At 34.6% G+C, this 16,821-nt stretch overlaps 1 long non-coding RNA gene across 6 annotated transcripts in view, besides 1 other annotated feature; it reads left to right on the forward strand.

The window, feature by feature from the left end:
- The window catches only part of LOC105370236 (uncharacterized), a 78,736-nt gene that overhangs the window by 21,796 nt on the left and 40,119 nt on the right, over window positions 1-16,821 (forward strand). For all 6 annotated transcript variants that reach the window (XR_942019.2, XR_942020.1, XR_942018.2 and 3 more), the window contains exon 3: window positions 11,134-11,258. This is a non-coding gene — a long non-coding RNA (uncharacterized LOC105370236). The remainder of the gene's footprint in view (window positions 1-11,133; window positions 11,259-16,821) is intronic.
- Window positions 10,228-10,522: an enhancer, noted in NCBI's record as "tiled region #1301; HepG2 Activating non-DNase unmatched - State 24:Quies, and K562 Activating non-DNase unmatched - State 24:Quies". NCBI's record gives its function as "activates a minimal TATA promoter and a strong SV40 promoter by Sharpr-MPRA in HepG2 and K562 cells {active_cell/tissue: HepG2 | K562}" and the evidence as "EXISTENCE:reporter gene assay evidence [ECO:0000049][PMID:27701403]".

Below are 16,821 nucleotides of genomic sequence, written 5' to 3' on the forward strand. Positions count from 1 at the left end.
ACTACGTGAGACACAATGTTTTATTAAACACATCTTAACCATTCTTTCTTTTCTTGAAAGATGTGTGCTGGTCTCTTGCAGAATAAAGTCTGACTTATCTTAAAACCTCTTACTCAGGTTTCCTGATCTGTCAAAACAGTCATTCAGTAACACTCAAAACATTCTACAATCCCAGTGTAGACAAAGTTCAATCAGCTTGCCCTGACTGTGCTGTGACGCTGACATTCTATGACTCTCTAGATGTTTCTGACCCTGCTGTACTATGCCAGGAGACGTGTGCTGGCCTGTGTGCAATAGACTGTGGTCTTGTGTTTTAGCTAGGAAGAGTAGATACGGGATATTGAAGCAACAGTTACTCCCTAGGCTAAAGATGTTTATGTGATATATCTCCCATATGTATTTATATATGTACATGTACACACATATACATTTATCAGGCTAAATATACATGAGCAACAATAAAGTAAATTAATCTTCATTAGTCTCTGCTATAAAGGTATTACGTTTTTTAAACATCAAAACCAAAATGATGTCTGCATCAGTTTAATGTTTAATAACTGTTCAGAAAGAAAAAGTGGAGAATATCCTTTTATAAGTTTCCTGCTGGCAATTTATCATTATTGAAACAGAATGTCTTTTGTTCATGAATTTTGAACATGGATAGTGTGTCCTTATGTTCTCCTACAACTAAGATGGCATTGTTGACTTCTCACATTTCATATCCATCATAAGATGAAAGCCCATTAGCTAAGTTCACATCAGAATTTGTCCTCATCAATGAAAGTTTGTCACAAATGATTCCCTGTTGTTCCTTGTAAGAGTGTCAAGTGGAGAAATTTGTTGGCTGTACTGAAAGTAATAGCACGTTGTTGTGATAAAATCATTAGCAATGCCACTACTTCAGGAACGTTTTTATGTCACCTGTAATGTAGGACACGCAGATACAAAATGTCCATGGTTATTTCATACTCAGAAATGTACTCCCTTTTGTGCACAGGAGAGCATCAAAAGTGAATTTTTGTTTCTGACAAAGAAGATTAATTACTCACTGTTAATTTATTTTCCCCATATTTCCTCATTGCTTGACCATATTTACCCTAAATAAGAGATCACAGGTTCAGTTGTACTGAACCAGCAAGAATTACTTCCCAAGAAGAAAGTTTATATTCTCTGTTGAGTATTGAAGTTTTTTTTTTAATATCAGAAAAACAGGCAAAGGGGTAGTTGACAAATGAAAGCCGGAGTTTTGGAGGGTAAGATCCCAGTTCCATTTAATTTGATTCTATACAGAACCAAGCACAATGCCAAGTATAATGCTTTCTGATAGATTTTGATTAGCTGTGCTCGGCTAGCTTCTCTTTACGTTACTTTAGTTCACACTCATTTTAAAGACTAGATGGAATTTCTCCGTAGCAGTGGCACATCCATTTGGGGTAAGAAGTAATCAGGTTCAGCTACTATTTTCCTTGCTTACTCACATACACAATAACTTGCTTTCCCCTGCTGTTTCACCAGAATTATTGAAATATTTTCTCCCTATTGCCAGCTGGATCAGTCTCTGTGACTTCCTTCTATTTTGATCCTAAATATCATTTCAAAAATAAATGCATTATTCCTTAGAATACAAAGTAAGACTGGAAGTCACCTTGGATTCGCCAGTGTTTCTGTTGTCTTTAGTGTAAAACTTATCTAAACAAACCCTTTATAAGAATGCGAGTCTTTTTCCTAATGACCTTAAGGAAAGAATATTCTATAAACTTTTAATATTCTCTCCTCTATTTACCATGTTGCAATATTGACATGTTTAACCTGTTTCTGGAGATCAGGCTTGTCTCATCCTATATTTTTAACTCAGTGAAGATAGGAAAACATGTCTATGACTTTTTTTTTAAACCAAGCTTGTGTGTTTCATTAATATTTATATAACTTTTAAATAGGCAATATTTAGCTTACACATTTTTTCTTATTATTGTTCTACCTCTCATAAAGCAATTAAAATGGCTACTTTTGAGTATGAAGAAAACAGAAACAACATATTCAACTTAATAAAGCTAAGCAAAAATTATATGTCTGAGGTTAAGATCAAAAGGAAATTTAAATAATATAAGCCATTAGTTGGAAGATTAACAGCAAAGTTTTCTATATTTGATAAACACGTTTTCTTATTATTTTCTCAAGGTAAAAGACACATGGGAAGAAATCATTTGTCTCAAAAAAGTAATTCATCTTCATCTTAATACATAAAGCAATTTTTACTTCAATTTCTACTTCACAGTTAGCACATATGTAGAAGTCCACAATGAGAATCTGCCTTAGTGAAGTAGCTCCTTGGCTCTTCCTAATTTGTTAGTTTTTTTCTCTTCATTCTCACTTCTCTAGCTGCTCGTGTGGTCACTTACCTCACAGCTGTCATAGATATTTATTTTCAAATGGACCAATTATCTCTCCTTGTCTCTGCAATGCATATTTGTCTTTTATGTGCTTTGCATTCTACCCCAGGATGTGTCATTTTTAAATCCAGGTATGATATAATTTGTTATACCGTAACTAAGCATTTCCAAACTCATACTTAGTTTTAAGGTGTACCAACAAATGTTATAATACACTAAGAACAAGGTGATGTCTTACTGTCGCACCAAAGTTTTGAGATGAATGCTACAGACATAGAAACAGTATAGAATGTGGCAATTATGTGGAAAATAATTATGGTTGATTTATATATAACTGGGCAATGAATATTGTGTGCAGGTATGACATACTAAAAAGCACTTATTGTTGCTGTTGTTTCTGCAATGGTTAGTTTTATACCTTAAGTTGTCATGGACTTTGGTGGCAAAATTGAGGGTGTTGTGGTCATATGGAGTTAGCAATTAGTGCATCACTTCATCAATCTATTTTAATTAATTGGGTTGTGCAAAAGGTTTAGTTTGAAAAACAGAACTCTGCTACTAAAGAAAAGAAGCAAAAAGAAGTAATCATCATAATCATTATACAGTATATTATTAGCAGGGAAGTAAAATGATCTTTTATACATTTTAACAAATTTAGAACAAAAAATTCTAAATGAATCAGAAAGGTGTGCTAGTCACATCAAGTTTCCCATAACAAAATCTAGGTAAAAAGATAACATGAGGTTTAGTAAAGGCAGTAGCAATGTAGAAAGCGGTGGGAATTAAAGCGATATATAGTAGGAAGAGCTGACAATACTCCACAACATATTTTTAAATTCCAGGCAAAGGAAATTGGGTACGTAATTGTGCTATTGTGATACTGGAGTGCTGGAGTCAGAAAAAGAAGCAAATCTTTCTGGAGGTGAGGGTTGGAAGAGCATTATGGTAGTTATTTTTGAAATATTTTGCTTGTTCTGCCCATAGGTGGGGAAGCTTGGTAGGTTTTAGAAATAGAATTTTGGAGCTAAAAAGAGGATCTAGTCTAGAAATTCAGATTTGGTACTCTGAGCATAGTAAATATCTAATAATGTATTGACATTGGTTGATGATGAAACATCCAAGACCTTTTGACTTTTATTTTATTACACATACACACACACGTGTGCACACACACACACAGGGTTAATCTTAAGTCCATCAAGGACTTTTAAGTATCTTGTGTTAGAGAGCTCAGATACATATATATATATAATATATATACACATATATATACACACACACATATATACATATATATGTATATATGTGTGTGTATGTATATGTGTATGTATGTATATATATATGTGTATGTGTGCACATTTGTGTGTGTATATATATAGATTTTTTTTTTTTGAGATGGGTTCTCTGTCACCCAGGCTGGAGTGCAGTGGCACAATCTCAGCTCACTGCAAACTCCAACTCCTGGGTTAAAGCGATTCTCCTGCCTCAGCCCCACGAGTAGCTGAGATTACAGGCACCCACCACGATACCCAGCTAATTTTGTATTTTTAGTAGAGATGGAGTTTCTCCATGTTGGCCAGGCTGGTCTTGAACTCCTGACCTCAGGTGATCTGCCCACCTTGGCCTCCCAAAGTGCTGGGATTACAGGCCCTTCCTTATGATTTAGTCTGCATCCAGCAAACTATTTTCTTTTTGTAGATAGGATGAACCTTTGTGCTCTATATCCACTTCTTCAAGAATAAGAAAAGTATATATTTTTTCCCATTTGCCTCAGAAGCTTTCCATTGATGACACTAAATCCTCTGAATTTTATTATTATGAATTATTCAACAAAGCTTTTGTTATTTTCTCACTTAAACTCAGATTTAATTTTCTGTTTTCATGTTATTCTCACCTACACAGCTAAAACCACCTAAGTTTTTGTTGAACTCTGCTAAGAAATATGGTGTTTGCTTACTAGTGCAGTATATTTGAACATATGTATTTTCTCCAAATGGAACTTGAGTGTAAAACCTCTTAAAATTTTCAGGTTGTGAAGTAAAACCAAAATAATTTGATTGGGGTCATTTGGGAATGTATAAGAAGGGCAACCTATAAGCTGTGTAATGCAATATTAGCTACACGAGTTTAGGAGTCATGGTAGTCAAAGTTCAAATACCAAGTAAATGCCATTGTGACTTTATATCTATCTCTTAACCTTAAAACCTCATTTAACTCATATATTTAATTGTATAGGGAAATATCCATCATGGATTAGCTGGGGCATTTAAGAGAAACATATAGTTCCTGATTACATAGTGGGTGCTCAATAAATGTGCTTTACCTTCTATCTGTCTTGATCGTTCCACATTCAAAGCCTAGGGCCTCTTCCTTTCTCTTAACCTTCCTCAATACAGGGAACTCTTATAAAAGATGAAAATATGGATGTAATTCACACATGCACACAAATGCGTGTGTGTATTTGGAGAAATTATAAAATTAAGTTTTGTACATGAATTCGTATTATCTGCAGATAAAGAAAACTAAATTAGTTAAAACATGGAAGATAATTTGGCTTTTTTATGATATGATAATTTTTAAAAATCTCTTCGATGACTTACCTAAAATTGCTTTCTTTTTGAATTAATTATAAGGCATTGTGTTAATCAGAAATCAGTATTAATTATGAATTATAGCCTACTCTTTACTTATAAATATCTCTCAGCTACTGAATCAAATCTATAAAATATTTCTTTTTTAAAAAATATTCAATGGCTTAATCTATCATAAAAAGTTTGTAAGTAAAAAAACTTCATGTCAGTTTTACCAAACATCTCCCCTCAAATGATGTAATGAAATGATAGCATGAGGCTGCTATATTAATTTATTAAGGAAGCTATGAAATCTATTCATCTCTGTAATTAATACAATTCCATTTTTTGGCACAAATGACCTGGTTATAAAATATGTTAGGTTAAATTGTTTTCCAGTCAGAGACATACAGTCTCTGATGTATAGTGGGTGTTTCATAAATGTGCTTTACCTTCTATCTTGCTGGTTCTGTATTCAAAGCCTACGTCCTCTTCCCTTCTCTTAATCTTTCTCAATACAGGGAACTGTATATAATCTGTACACCTGTGTATAACTGTATATAAAACATATAACCACCAACATACCAACAAGGAGATAAAATATTGACCTTGTCTCTTTGTTTATTCTGTGTAATGTTGACCTTGTCTCTTTGTTTATTCTGACATGGACACAAAAACATTAGTCCATTCTTTAATTGCACTCTATGAATGATGACTAAAATTAGGATTTTTGAAATGTGCTCTTACAGGAGAAAGCCCTGTGCTTATAGTTGACCATGGGGCATTGCATAACCCTTTTGGTTATTGATATTGCTTTTGTTGGTTTTATTATTTTTAACACTTTTTATTTTCTGGTGTACCTTACTCCCATCTTTATTAATCTTGCTTCACCCTCAATCTTTTTTTCTGTATGCTTTACTTTCCAGTATGGTGCTAGTGCTCTCTCTCTACTCTAAGGTAAGTTTTACTTTTCTCAATTGGCTTCTGTACCTGGTAAGTTACTTAAGATCTTCACTCCTTCCCTGTACCAATGAGGCAATGGAATGAATGGCTAAAATGGCAGGAGAACTTGCTTCTTATTGTCAAAAAGGATTCTGATAAATCAGAATTATAAGAAGTAATAATGAATACAGGTACCATTTATTGAGTGCATACAAGTGCCTGAGGTAACACCACAAAAAATTGCCCAAATTTCGAACACAAGTATGTGTTTGACCACAGTGACCACAGTGATGGTGTCTTAACAGAAAAGTATAAATAATTTTGTGTCTGTGTTTGTAAATAAACAAACCACCTGAAACAAAACGAAATGGCTATTCTGCTTTATTAACATATTAAGAAAAATACAAGCACATTCGATCTTCAAGTGACCTTTCTTGCAGTAAGAAAGGAACCTACGTACATTGGTGAAATATAAGGTACAATAAATCTCCTTTATTGTGTCAAAGATCTCACTTTTTGATTCCCATAATATTTACTATAAAATTTACTTCTTAAATTTGAGACACTGAAGATCCCCATGAAATTCAAATTCATTATCTAATAAAAAGAAGAAGAAATTAACAAGCATTAACATTTTGGACTGAGTATATTAAATAACATAATCCATAGCTGTGTGTCTTGATGTCAGTAAAACTGCATTTGTGCAATTTTACATTTTTAGAAGCAAAAGGAATAGAAGAAAAAGGAAAATACTATACTATTCTTTTGGTATATTCTTGAAATATGTATCACAGACCAAATATGGAGCAAGACCAAGGACATAAGATAATGAAAATAATATTTGTTTAATCATTGAATGTTGTTTCTTATGGTGTACTTTAAAAGTAGCATACTCTAATTTAGTTCTTACAACTTCCTTGGCTAATAAATATGTCATTGTTCCAATTGTACAAATAATAAAATATAATAAATTTAATCTCAGATAAAAATAAGCTTTACTTTTAGTGGTATGAGAAGCAATTGGGGATATCAAATACAAGTAGTGGCATAATTTGACTTGCTTTACGTCAGGGTCACTTGGCTACTAGTTTAAGAAGAGAGTGATAAGAGCATGGGTTGAAGCTGGGAATCATTAGGAGACTGTTGTAATAATTCAAACAAAAGATGAGGGTGGCTTGAATTAGGATAACAGTAGTTGTGAAAAGTCATCAGATTCTGAATGTATTTTGAAGATAAAGTCAACAAGATAGGTTGTTGGAATGACTGTGAGCTCTAGGTGAAAGGGAGGTGTCCAGTATATAATTGAGGTTTTTCATTAAAGCAACTAGAATGTTGGGCTTGCCAATGGCTAAGATAGAGAAGACTGTAGAAAGGAAAGTTGTGATAGGGAGGGTAGAATGGGAGCTGAATTTTGAACACGTTATTTTTGAGACTTCTATTAGATAATCAATTGAATATTTTAAAGAGGCAATTGTATACCCAATATGAAGTTGTTCAGGGCAGAATTTAATGCTGGTTATATCAAGTTATAAGAATTTAGATATCATTTAAAGCCACAAGAATAGAAGGAATTATTACAAAATTATTTTAGGTAGAAAGCCCTTAATAAATGAGGGAAATCCAAACTGATGACAAAGAATAAATGTTTATTGAGGAAAAAGAAATACAAGAAAATCTTATGTTTTCAAAGCCATGTAAAGGCCTAATTTCAGCAGGAAGGAGTGAAGTAAGTAAGCGAAGACAGAGAATTGACAACTGGATGTGAAAATGTGAAGATCACTGGAAACTTGACAAACAGATTTGGCAAAGTAATGGGATTAGGATCTTGATTTAACTGGATTCAAAGGAGAATAGGAATGGAAGGAAATAAATTAGACCAAATATACAAACGTCTTTCAAAGAGTAATTCTGTAAAAACTAAAATTCATGATTTAGTAGCTAACCAGGGAAATAGTCAAAGAGGCTTCTTAAAAATAGAACAGAAATAACAGAAAGTTTATATGTTGCTTGAAAATATGTAGAAGAAATTGTTGAGAATTCCTTAAGCAATGTCCTTGAATGACAAGAGCAAATGGGGTCTCTCTTTCAAAAGTAAGAGAGCAGTCTTTGGCCAAGTACATGGAATGTTACACCTCAGTAATAAAAAAGACAGGCCAGGCGTGGTGGCTTACGCCTGTAATCCCAGCACTTTGGGAGGCTGAGGCGGGTGGATCACAAGGTTAAGAGATCAAGACCATCGTGGCCAACATGGTGGAGCCCTGTCTCTACTAAAATACAAAAAATTAGCTGGGCGTGGTGGTGTGCGCCTGTAGTCCCAGCTACTCCGGAGGCTGAGGCAGGGGAATCACTTGAACCCGGGAGGTGGAGATTGCTGTGAGCAGAGAGCTCACCACTGCACTCCAGCCTGGTGACAGCGCAAGACTTTAAAAAAAAAAAATACAAGAAAAGACAGAGATGGGGTTGTGGTGGTGGGAAGGTGTTAAGGTTCTCTTCAGACTGTGGAAAATTGGAATAAAAGTCATCATCTAAGAACAAGTATGAGGATGAAATTTTGAAAGTTTGAAAATTGAAAAGAATTTAATTAGGTCTTTCTAAATGTTAGAGACCATAAATTTTAAAGTCAAACTATTCAACATGATTATATGCATACTTCAGCCATGTACAATGGTGAAGATTTAGGAATGGAGAAGAAAGGAATTTGTGCTAATCTAGTGTTGGTATCTGGTCTAGGAAATAAGAAAAATGAGTGAAGGTTGAGAGGGTTGAAGGTATTCTACTGAAATCAGGATTTAACCTATTTACAGAAGAAACTAAGGACATGATATGGCTGAAGAGGAAAGCTAGCAGGAGCAATGGATTATAAAGCTAGCAGGAGCAATGGATTGTGTGGTTAAAATATCACCGAAAGTTGTATGTGTCTCTTCATTAACTGACATCAGCTTGAGTCAAGGAAACATGACATGTTTTGAAACCATTTATTAAATATATACGTAATGAATAAGTCCATTATATAATCGAATAAAAAACTACATTTGGATTACTTTCTCCCATTTAGAAATTCTCTATCAATTATTTATAGAAAAGAGAAACTATTTATATAGTTAATATTAAGCTTCATTCATTAGATAAGTAACTGCTTTAATATAAAACATATAAAAATAAGATGAATAAATAAATGTATAGTAGCCACTCTCATACTATGCTATATTCCTCATCTAGATGTGTGGGTGAAGATGTGATAGAATTTCTTCTACCTAATAGAAACATCTTGCCTTTTTGAGTGTTGTGTGGGCTTTAAATTCGACAGGTGAGAAACTCCCTCTCATTTATAGAGTGATGTCGACACCAGTGCCTCGTATTTTGCAATCTTTTTTTTTTTTTTTTTTTTTTTTGAGACGGAGTCTTGCTGTGTTGCCCAGGCTGGAGTACAGTGCTCAGTGGCACGATCTTGGCTGACTGCAACCTCCATCTCCCGGGTTCAAGCAATTTCCCTGCCTCAGCCTCCTGAGTAGCTGGGATTACAGGAGCCTGCCACCACGCCCAGCTAATTTTTTGTATTTTTAGTAGAGACGGCGTTTCACCGTATTGGCCAGGATGGTCTCCATCTCCTGACCTTGTGATCTGCCTGCCTCGGCCTCCCAAAGTGTTGGGATTACAGGCGTGAGCCATGGCGCCTGGCTTTGTGCTATCTTTTTAAATTTACCAAGTGCTTCTCTTTTTGCTTCTCATAAGAGGACTATACATTAAGTAGCACTGCCATACTACCCTGTTTTACAAATCAGTCATCTCGGATTCAGAGAAACTAAATTACTACCCAAACCATAACAGGTAAAATGAGAGAATATTCAAATCTAGTGTTCTGAACGATAGCTTTTTGTAGCAAAAATGCCTCGTTGGCCATATTTGTGAGTATTTTAGTTAAAGCATGGTCTCATCACAAAAGAAATCTTAATTTTCCATTTTTTCCAGTATACAAATACATCTCACAACACCTTGGATGACTATTTATTAGAATAAATCACAGAGCTTGAAAGCCTTTCCAGAGCTCAGTTAATACACTATTTGTATACTACCTCCCAAGCCGGAGACATTTTTTGAAATTATACACCCTTCACCATCATGAGGACCTAAATAGCGACACCAGTAATAACTGTGGTGGAAAGAAAAGGGAACTGGCTGGTGCACACATGGACATATGAAAATTTTCATACCATTTGGGGATTGTTAACATTTAATTTGTAGGCAAGTTAAATTTGGCAGAGTTTATCTGAGCAAAGAACGACTCCTTAACTGAGTGACATTCAGAACCAGAGGAGGTTCATAGAGCCCTGCCTGGCAGTATGGGCAGGGAGCTTTTATAGGCCTTATTGGGTGAACACAGAAGCAAAGTAGATAAGTCATTTGCTACACTTAGGCATCCACCTCATTTGGGCATGGTGTGATGAGTCATCTGCCTTCTTTGGGCATGACATAATGAACCATGTGCCTTATTTGGGCATAATGTGATGAACTGGCTGCCTGTGATTGGCTAAACTTGGCTTTGTTATATTCCTAAATTAGCTTTTTGGCATGTGTATGTACTAAGTTAGGTTGCAATTTGTTATGCAGGAACTCAAAAAGTACAGAGACAGCCTCAGGCTAATGGCCTTCTACTAATTTAATAACACATAGAGAAACAGTGCAAATGTCTGTACTCAGCATCATTATATTAGTTGGATTATTTAGGTTTTCTAAAAGCGATACATTAAGTCTAACTCAGGCAGCACAGAAATATTTTAAAAATATGTATAGGCGTAATGAACATAAACTCTCATAGAAATAACAGAGTATAAAGCTTGGCCCATAGAGACAGTGATATATCCTTCAAGCTAGAAGTTTTAACGCTTACATTTTACATTATATCTTTTCTTTATTATATAAATTTATCAATCTCTGTCATTATTGTCATTTATCTTCTTTTTAGTTTTTCTTTCACTGCATCTGCCAGTGCTATTCTGTATAGATTTTGTGTCTTGTGGTTTTTGCTTATTTGTGTTTCTATCTCCTCATGATGTGGGACCAATTTACTGCCCATTATTGTTTTTATTGCTTCATACCTTACATATATCCACAGTTTTATTGTCTATTTTGAATAGTAATTTCTTGATGCTTTCGTATTTTCTGGTTATTTTTCCAAAGAAGAGAATCTTCTTGCATCTAACATTTTCCCACTTTCTTTTTTTTCTTGACAGACCACCTTAGATATTGCTGGCCAGCTCATGAATTGTGGCTTGTGGTCCAGCTAATCTTTCCTAGTCTATTCAGCTATGGCCAGAGAAGATGTGCTTAACTTGTGGAGCCTTACTGTTTCTCTAAGGTAGGAAACTTGGTATGGGGCAGCCTCTTTGCTAAGGTTACATGGGTACGGTAGCTTCCATGATTTAGCTATGTGTAATATGCAAGGTCTTAAATAGATTTGTAAGCAGTGAGGTTATATGTTATCATTCATTTATTACTGATCACATTTTAACCCAGTCTCTAGCTATAGGCAGCAGATGGATTTCCAATCTTACTCGTTTATTGCTTACTATTGCTGACACATACATAAAGGGCCTTTCTGAATATATTTAAAGAACTCATGAGAGCTCTTCATGAGATAATACTATAAAACTTAGATGTTAGGTGCTGGATAGCAGGATAATTTTATTAAATGAGGTGTTCAGTTTCATTAGGTTATATTTACTAAAGTACTAAGTGTTTCCGTTCTTACAGTCTATGTGTCCCCTTTCTATAAACTGCTTGCAGAAGAAGCAAGGCATATCAGTTGGGGACTTGACCTGCAAGCTAGAATTACTCTTGTAAATGCTTCAAATTTACCAAGAGGATTATCTGTATATTTATGAGAATCTTTGATACTGGAGATAATCCCAGTATTTTCTGTTCCTTGCACCCAAAAGGAGCTTCACAAACATTTCAGAAGATAAATCCATCTATGTTTGGGGAAGTATGTGTGTTTTGTGCTGAACACATTTGTTTTGGGGGTTCACATGTACGTGGTAATGAGAGAAAAAGGTGAGATTTGTTCTCCTAATTTGTCCCCTTCCTTCCTCTTTATGTAAAAAACACCATCAATTTTACAAGTGCTTTTTAAAACGAATTATCTGAAAACCACGGTAAATATAACAAACATAAAAAGGAACAAAGGTATAAGAATTCTTAAAGGCCCATTAATAATTGTCACTCATATCTTCATTGAAATGTAAATAGAATTAGATTTACCCTTTCTTAGTTGCCCTCTTACTCCTGCATTGATTTGCCTCCTATTCTTGTCTGGAAATTTCATCCTGCCCAAATATTTCCTCTCAACATACTACCCTGTGCTTATATCAATGAGAACATTTATCATTCTCTCTAATGATCTTGACTCCTTATCTCTTTCTCCCGCTGTTTTTTTACTTCACAATTTTAAAGGACAAGAGCTGCACCTAATTTATTTTTAAATTTCCAGAACCTAGCATAGAAACAGAGAGAAACTAAGAATGTATAGTATAAGTATATGAATTATTAGATTAATAAATATACTTAGGAATTTTCCTTCTCCCTTTGGTAAGTCTCAGTTTCAATGCACTACTGTATTATCAGGAGTTACAGTAGGTCATACATGTCAAATGTTCACATAATAGACCCAGAGAGATCAAGGAAAAGTAATTTGCATCTCACAACAAACTTTCTGTTATCTCAAAACTGTACTGTGTAGTACAGCAAAATTATCTTACGCATTTCTTCATATGCTGTCTGAAACTTTATTTTTAACATATTGGTAATTTCTTGCTGAAAATGTACGTCTACATAAGAGCACTAAAATGACCTTCGGCTTAAGCATAAATCAAAATTTTTATTTCACTTTCCTTTTTATTATCACAGTGGTCACTTTTCTCACTTAAACTTTCAGTAAGGTCATTCAGCTTTGACCTATCAAGCTTTCATTTCCTGCTGTCTGAAATGAAACATCTCTCCCACCTATAACTGACAAGAGTCACATTTCTTGTGGGATTGATTTCTTTCATCTTGTTCTTTCTTGAGCCCTTATCTTTCTTTTACTTTCTCCCTTTCCTTCCAGTGATAAGGTCTCTATATTTTCTTGTTGTGTTCATCTTGTGCTTTTTGTCTTTCATTTATCAGCTTCCAGCTTCTTAATTTATACATTCTATCCCTATTTTTTCTCCACTTATCTGTGATTTTATCTTGTTCTTTGCTCCTAATATTTTGAATTTTTCCCCAGTTAGCATATTGGCATCTTTTTTATATTGCTATTATTACTGAATCTTAGATTATTGTTTCTGTTGATATTTTCTTGTTAATTTCTCTCTGTTTCTGCCTATTTAATCATATTCTATTTTCTATCCTTATTATTTGCCCTCACTAATTTAAGCTTAACTCAGTTTTATCAGATTGTTTATATCTAGAATATATTTTTCTTCTCTTTATTATGCTAACTGCACATACTGATTTTCTCTCCTATATTGTAGCCATGAACATTTTTCCACTGCTTTGTGGCACGTTTTAGGACATCTTGAGTCTAATATTAGCATTAAAATATGTAATTATTTGCCTTTTACAAAAATCTGTGGTACAGTATCATCAATTCCAGAACCAACTCTTGTCATAATAAATAGGAGGAGTTACAGAAACCTAATAATGAAATTATGAAACATATTAGGTATCTACTGGTAAAAAAATATTCCTGAATTGAATGCACCTACTTGTTCTTTTCAAATTATTTTCTAATAGCTTTGTTAAAGTGTTTCCTTAATTTAAAAAATTATATGATGTAAATAAAAAATGCTACAGTAGCGAAATGTATTTCCAAACATGGGTTTTCCAAATACGCAAGCAAATTATATGACAATTAAATGATTTCAAATAATACAACAAAAGTGAATATTTTTTGAAACATTTTCCCCAAAGGAAAACTGTATATCTATATAGCACCATTCCACAAGGTTTCCTTGCTTGCTGCTCATTTCTGCTTTCCAGTAAAAAGCCTGAGAGTAACACCCCCTCTTCCTTATGAATAATTTGCCTGTGAAATATACACTGTGCAGCCGAGCTAACTTGAAAAACTAGCATATTCCTCTGATTCTGGAAATCAATGAGGTGGTTTCTATGAAAACAGATAATCTTGACTTGTGGCAGCTCATGCGATGTGTCAGGCAATGATCCAGTGTGCACTCATGTGTCCAGTGTACAATCATGTGTCCTAGACAAATTCTACAGCAGCAGTTTGTTCTCTGAAGTTTGTCTTTTAATGATTAATATCAAAATCTGGAATAAAATACAAACTGCAGAATTTTATAACTTCTCAGTTCTGAGTATTTTATCTAATGTAAGTTAATTGAGACAAACTAGTATTTTATGTCTCTAAGAAAGAAAAAAAACCCTGCCAATTAAAGTGTGGCAAACTACCAATTCTTAGACATATTATAATTAAATATACATTTACATATAAAAATATGATCTTAAAATTTATAAAATCTAATCTAAATTTAGCAGACATATAGCTTTTAGAAAAAATATTTCATATTCAATTGTTTTTACTAACTCCTTTTGGTATTAATTCTCAGATGGAATGAAAGATATTTTTTCTTTGATGATCCTACATTGACTATGATCTAGAAAAAGTTCTGGTACACACAAAGCATCAGTAACAATGACCTTGTAAGATTGTTTGAGATATAAATGCGTTAATCTAACTAAAGAGTTAAAGAAAATGATTCTCAATCCATAAACTCAGATAAAATTTAAGTTAATATAATCCTGATTAAGAACACCCACACATAATAATATGGAAAAAGCCATATTACTGATTATTAAAGCCACCCCCACTTTCCATCCTAGATTATGAGATAATCCTATGATGCTTAATTGATGTAAGCAGTTTTAACCAATCAAAAATGGTCGCTACTAAAATTCCATGTATCTAAACTTTCAGTGCTCATTTGATGTCAAGCAATTCTTTGCTTGTCTATGGACAATGAGAAACTTTGCTGATTGGAAACGCCCGTACCTAACCATGCCAAGTAGACATCTTCTCTGAGGTCACACCATACCCTTTTGCAGTGCTGTGGAGTAGCTCTGGTCCTTTCTTCACAAGGCCTGCTGAAATATCAGATGTATTAGTCAGTGTTCTCTATAGAGACAGAACCAATAGAAAAGATAGAGAGATATATAGATAGGGATATAAATATGGATACAGACATGAACATGGAGATAGATAGATATGAGTTGTGATTCTTAAGGGGAATTGGCTCACATGATTATGAAGGCTAAATCTCTTGACAGGCGGTCTGTAAACTGGAGACCCTGGGACGAAGGTGCCCTGTCTCAGTCCAAATCCAAAAGCTTCAGAACCAGGGAAGTTTATGGTGTAATTCTCAGTCCCAAGCATGGAGAGCCTGGAGTTCTGATGTTCAAGGGCAGGAGGACAAGAGTCCTCACTTCAGGAGACGGAAAGTGTTTTGCTCTCCTTTTTTTGTCTTTTATCCAAGAGCCCAGCTCATTAGATGTTGCCTACCCATATTGCAGGTGGGTGGACCTTCCCCACTCAGTTCACTGACTCACATGACATTCTTCTCGGAAAACACCCTTCCCAGACTTACCAAAAGTAACGCTTCACCAGTTCTCTAGGTATTCCTTAACCCAGTCAAGCTGACACCTAAAATTAACTGTCACATCAGGGTTCTTAATCTCTGCTTCCACTAGTTTCACAAAGCCATTTTTGCTTTCTCCATGTCCCCTAAATAATTAGGCATAATTCCTTCAGTAAGTTTAGGCTGTTACAAAATACAAGATAAAGAGAGTCATATATTTCTGGAAGTTATATCTTACTACACTTTCAGTGTTCTCTAAGCAAGAATAAAACATTGCTTAAAATGACGAATTGGGGGATAATAGATGTTAGGTGTTATTATAACTATTGCTCCTTTGGTTCCCCCAAAAGCATAGCTTGAGATAAGACTTTGGTTGCATGAATTTGCTTTGTAAAATAAAACATAAGAAGGGAGTATGGAAATGGAACAGGTAAAGTGAGAAAGTGATAGAGAAAATGCTAATAAACAGTGTGGTATGAAGATGACTGTCAAAGGACCGCTGAGATATAGGTACAGTGCTTCCCTGATCCTTTCTTTTGAAGGACTAAAGGCTAAAGTATCTGTGCCTTTGCTCCCCTGACAATCTTTTCTGGAGCTGACCATTTCACATTTCTGAGTTGGGCCTGCTCAAACTGAGCAGAATCTTGGACTTCAATGTAAAGTCTTGAAGCAGAAAGCCTGAGATCCATTCCATGAGTGCTTAGAATATAACTTTCAGCATGCAACAACCTCTCCTCCACATTTGTGCATGAAGTCAGAGGTGATTCAAAAAGGTGCAAACGATGAATCAAAGTGTCTACTAGAATTCACTTCTTGCATTGTTCAAATGTCTCATGATTTATGTTAAATCCATCTCACTAACTTTTCCAGTTTGGGGTCAAGTGCAATTTCTTGGGGCAGAAAAAAAAGAAAGAAGGAAAAAGAAAGAAAAGAAAAGGGGGGAAAAACCGGACCATAAAACGAGTGGAATGAATCAGTATTTACTTCTGCAACTATTTCTGAAAATATGATATTCACTATTTTTTTCTTCACTCATCCAATCTAGATTTTCTTTACCATCAGTATTCAAATCTAGAATGGGTAATAGAAAAGGAAACACTAACTATTAATTAATGCCTCGAGATCAGCTGCAGAAGATTATAGCTTATTCCAACCTACTTTTCTTGGCCAGACTACAGTAGTCACAAGGCCATAAGAATGAGCTTAGGGACAGATGTTAAGTGTAACGTTGTAAGATACATAGGGGTTTGAACTACTCATTGAAATAACTTTTATGTTCTTCGAGCTTTT

This window comes from Homo sapiens, chromosome 13 (genome assembly GCF_000001405.40).
Source record: "Homo sapiens chromosome 13, GRCh38.p14 Primary Assembly".
Taxonomy (NCBI): domain Eukaryota; kingdom Metazoa; phylum Chordata; class Mammalia; order Primates; family Hominidae; genus Homo; species Homo sapiens.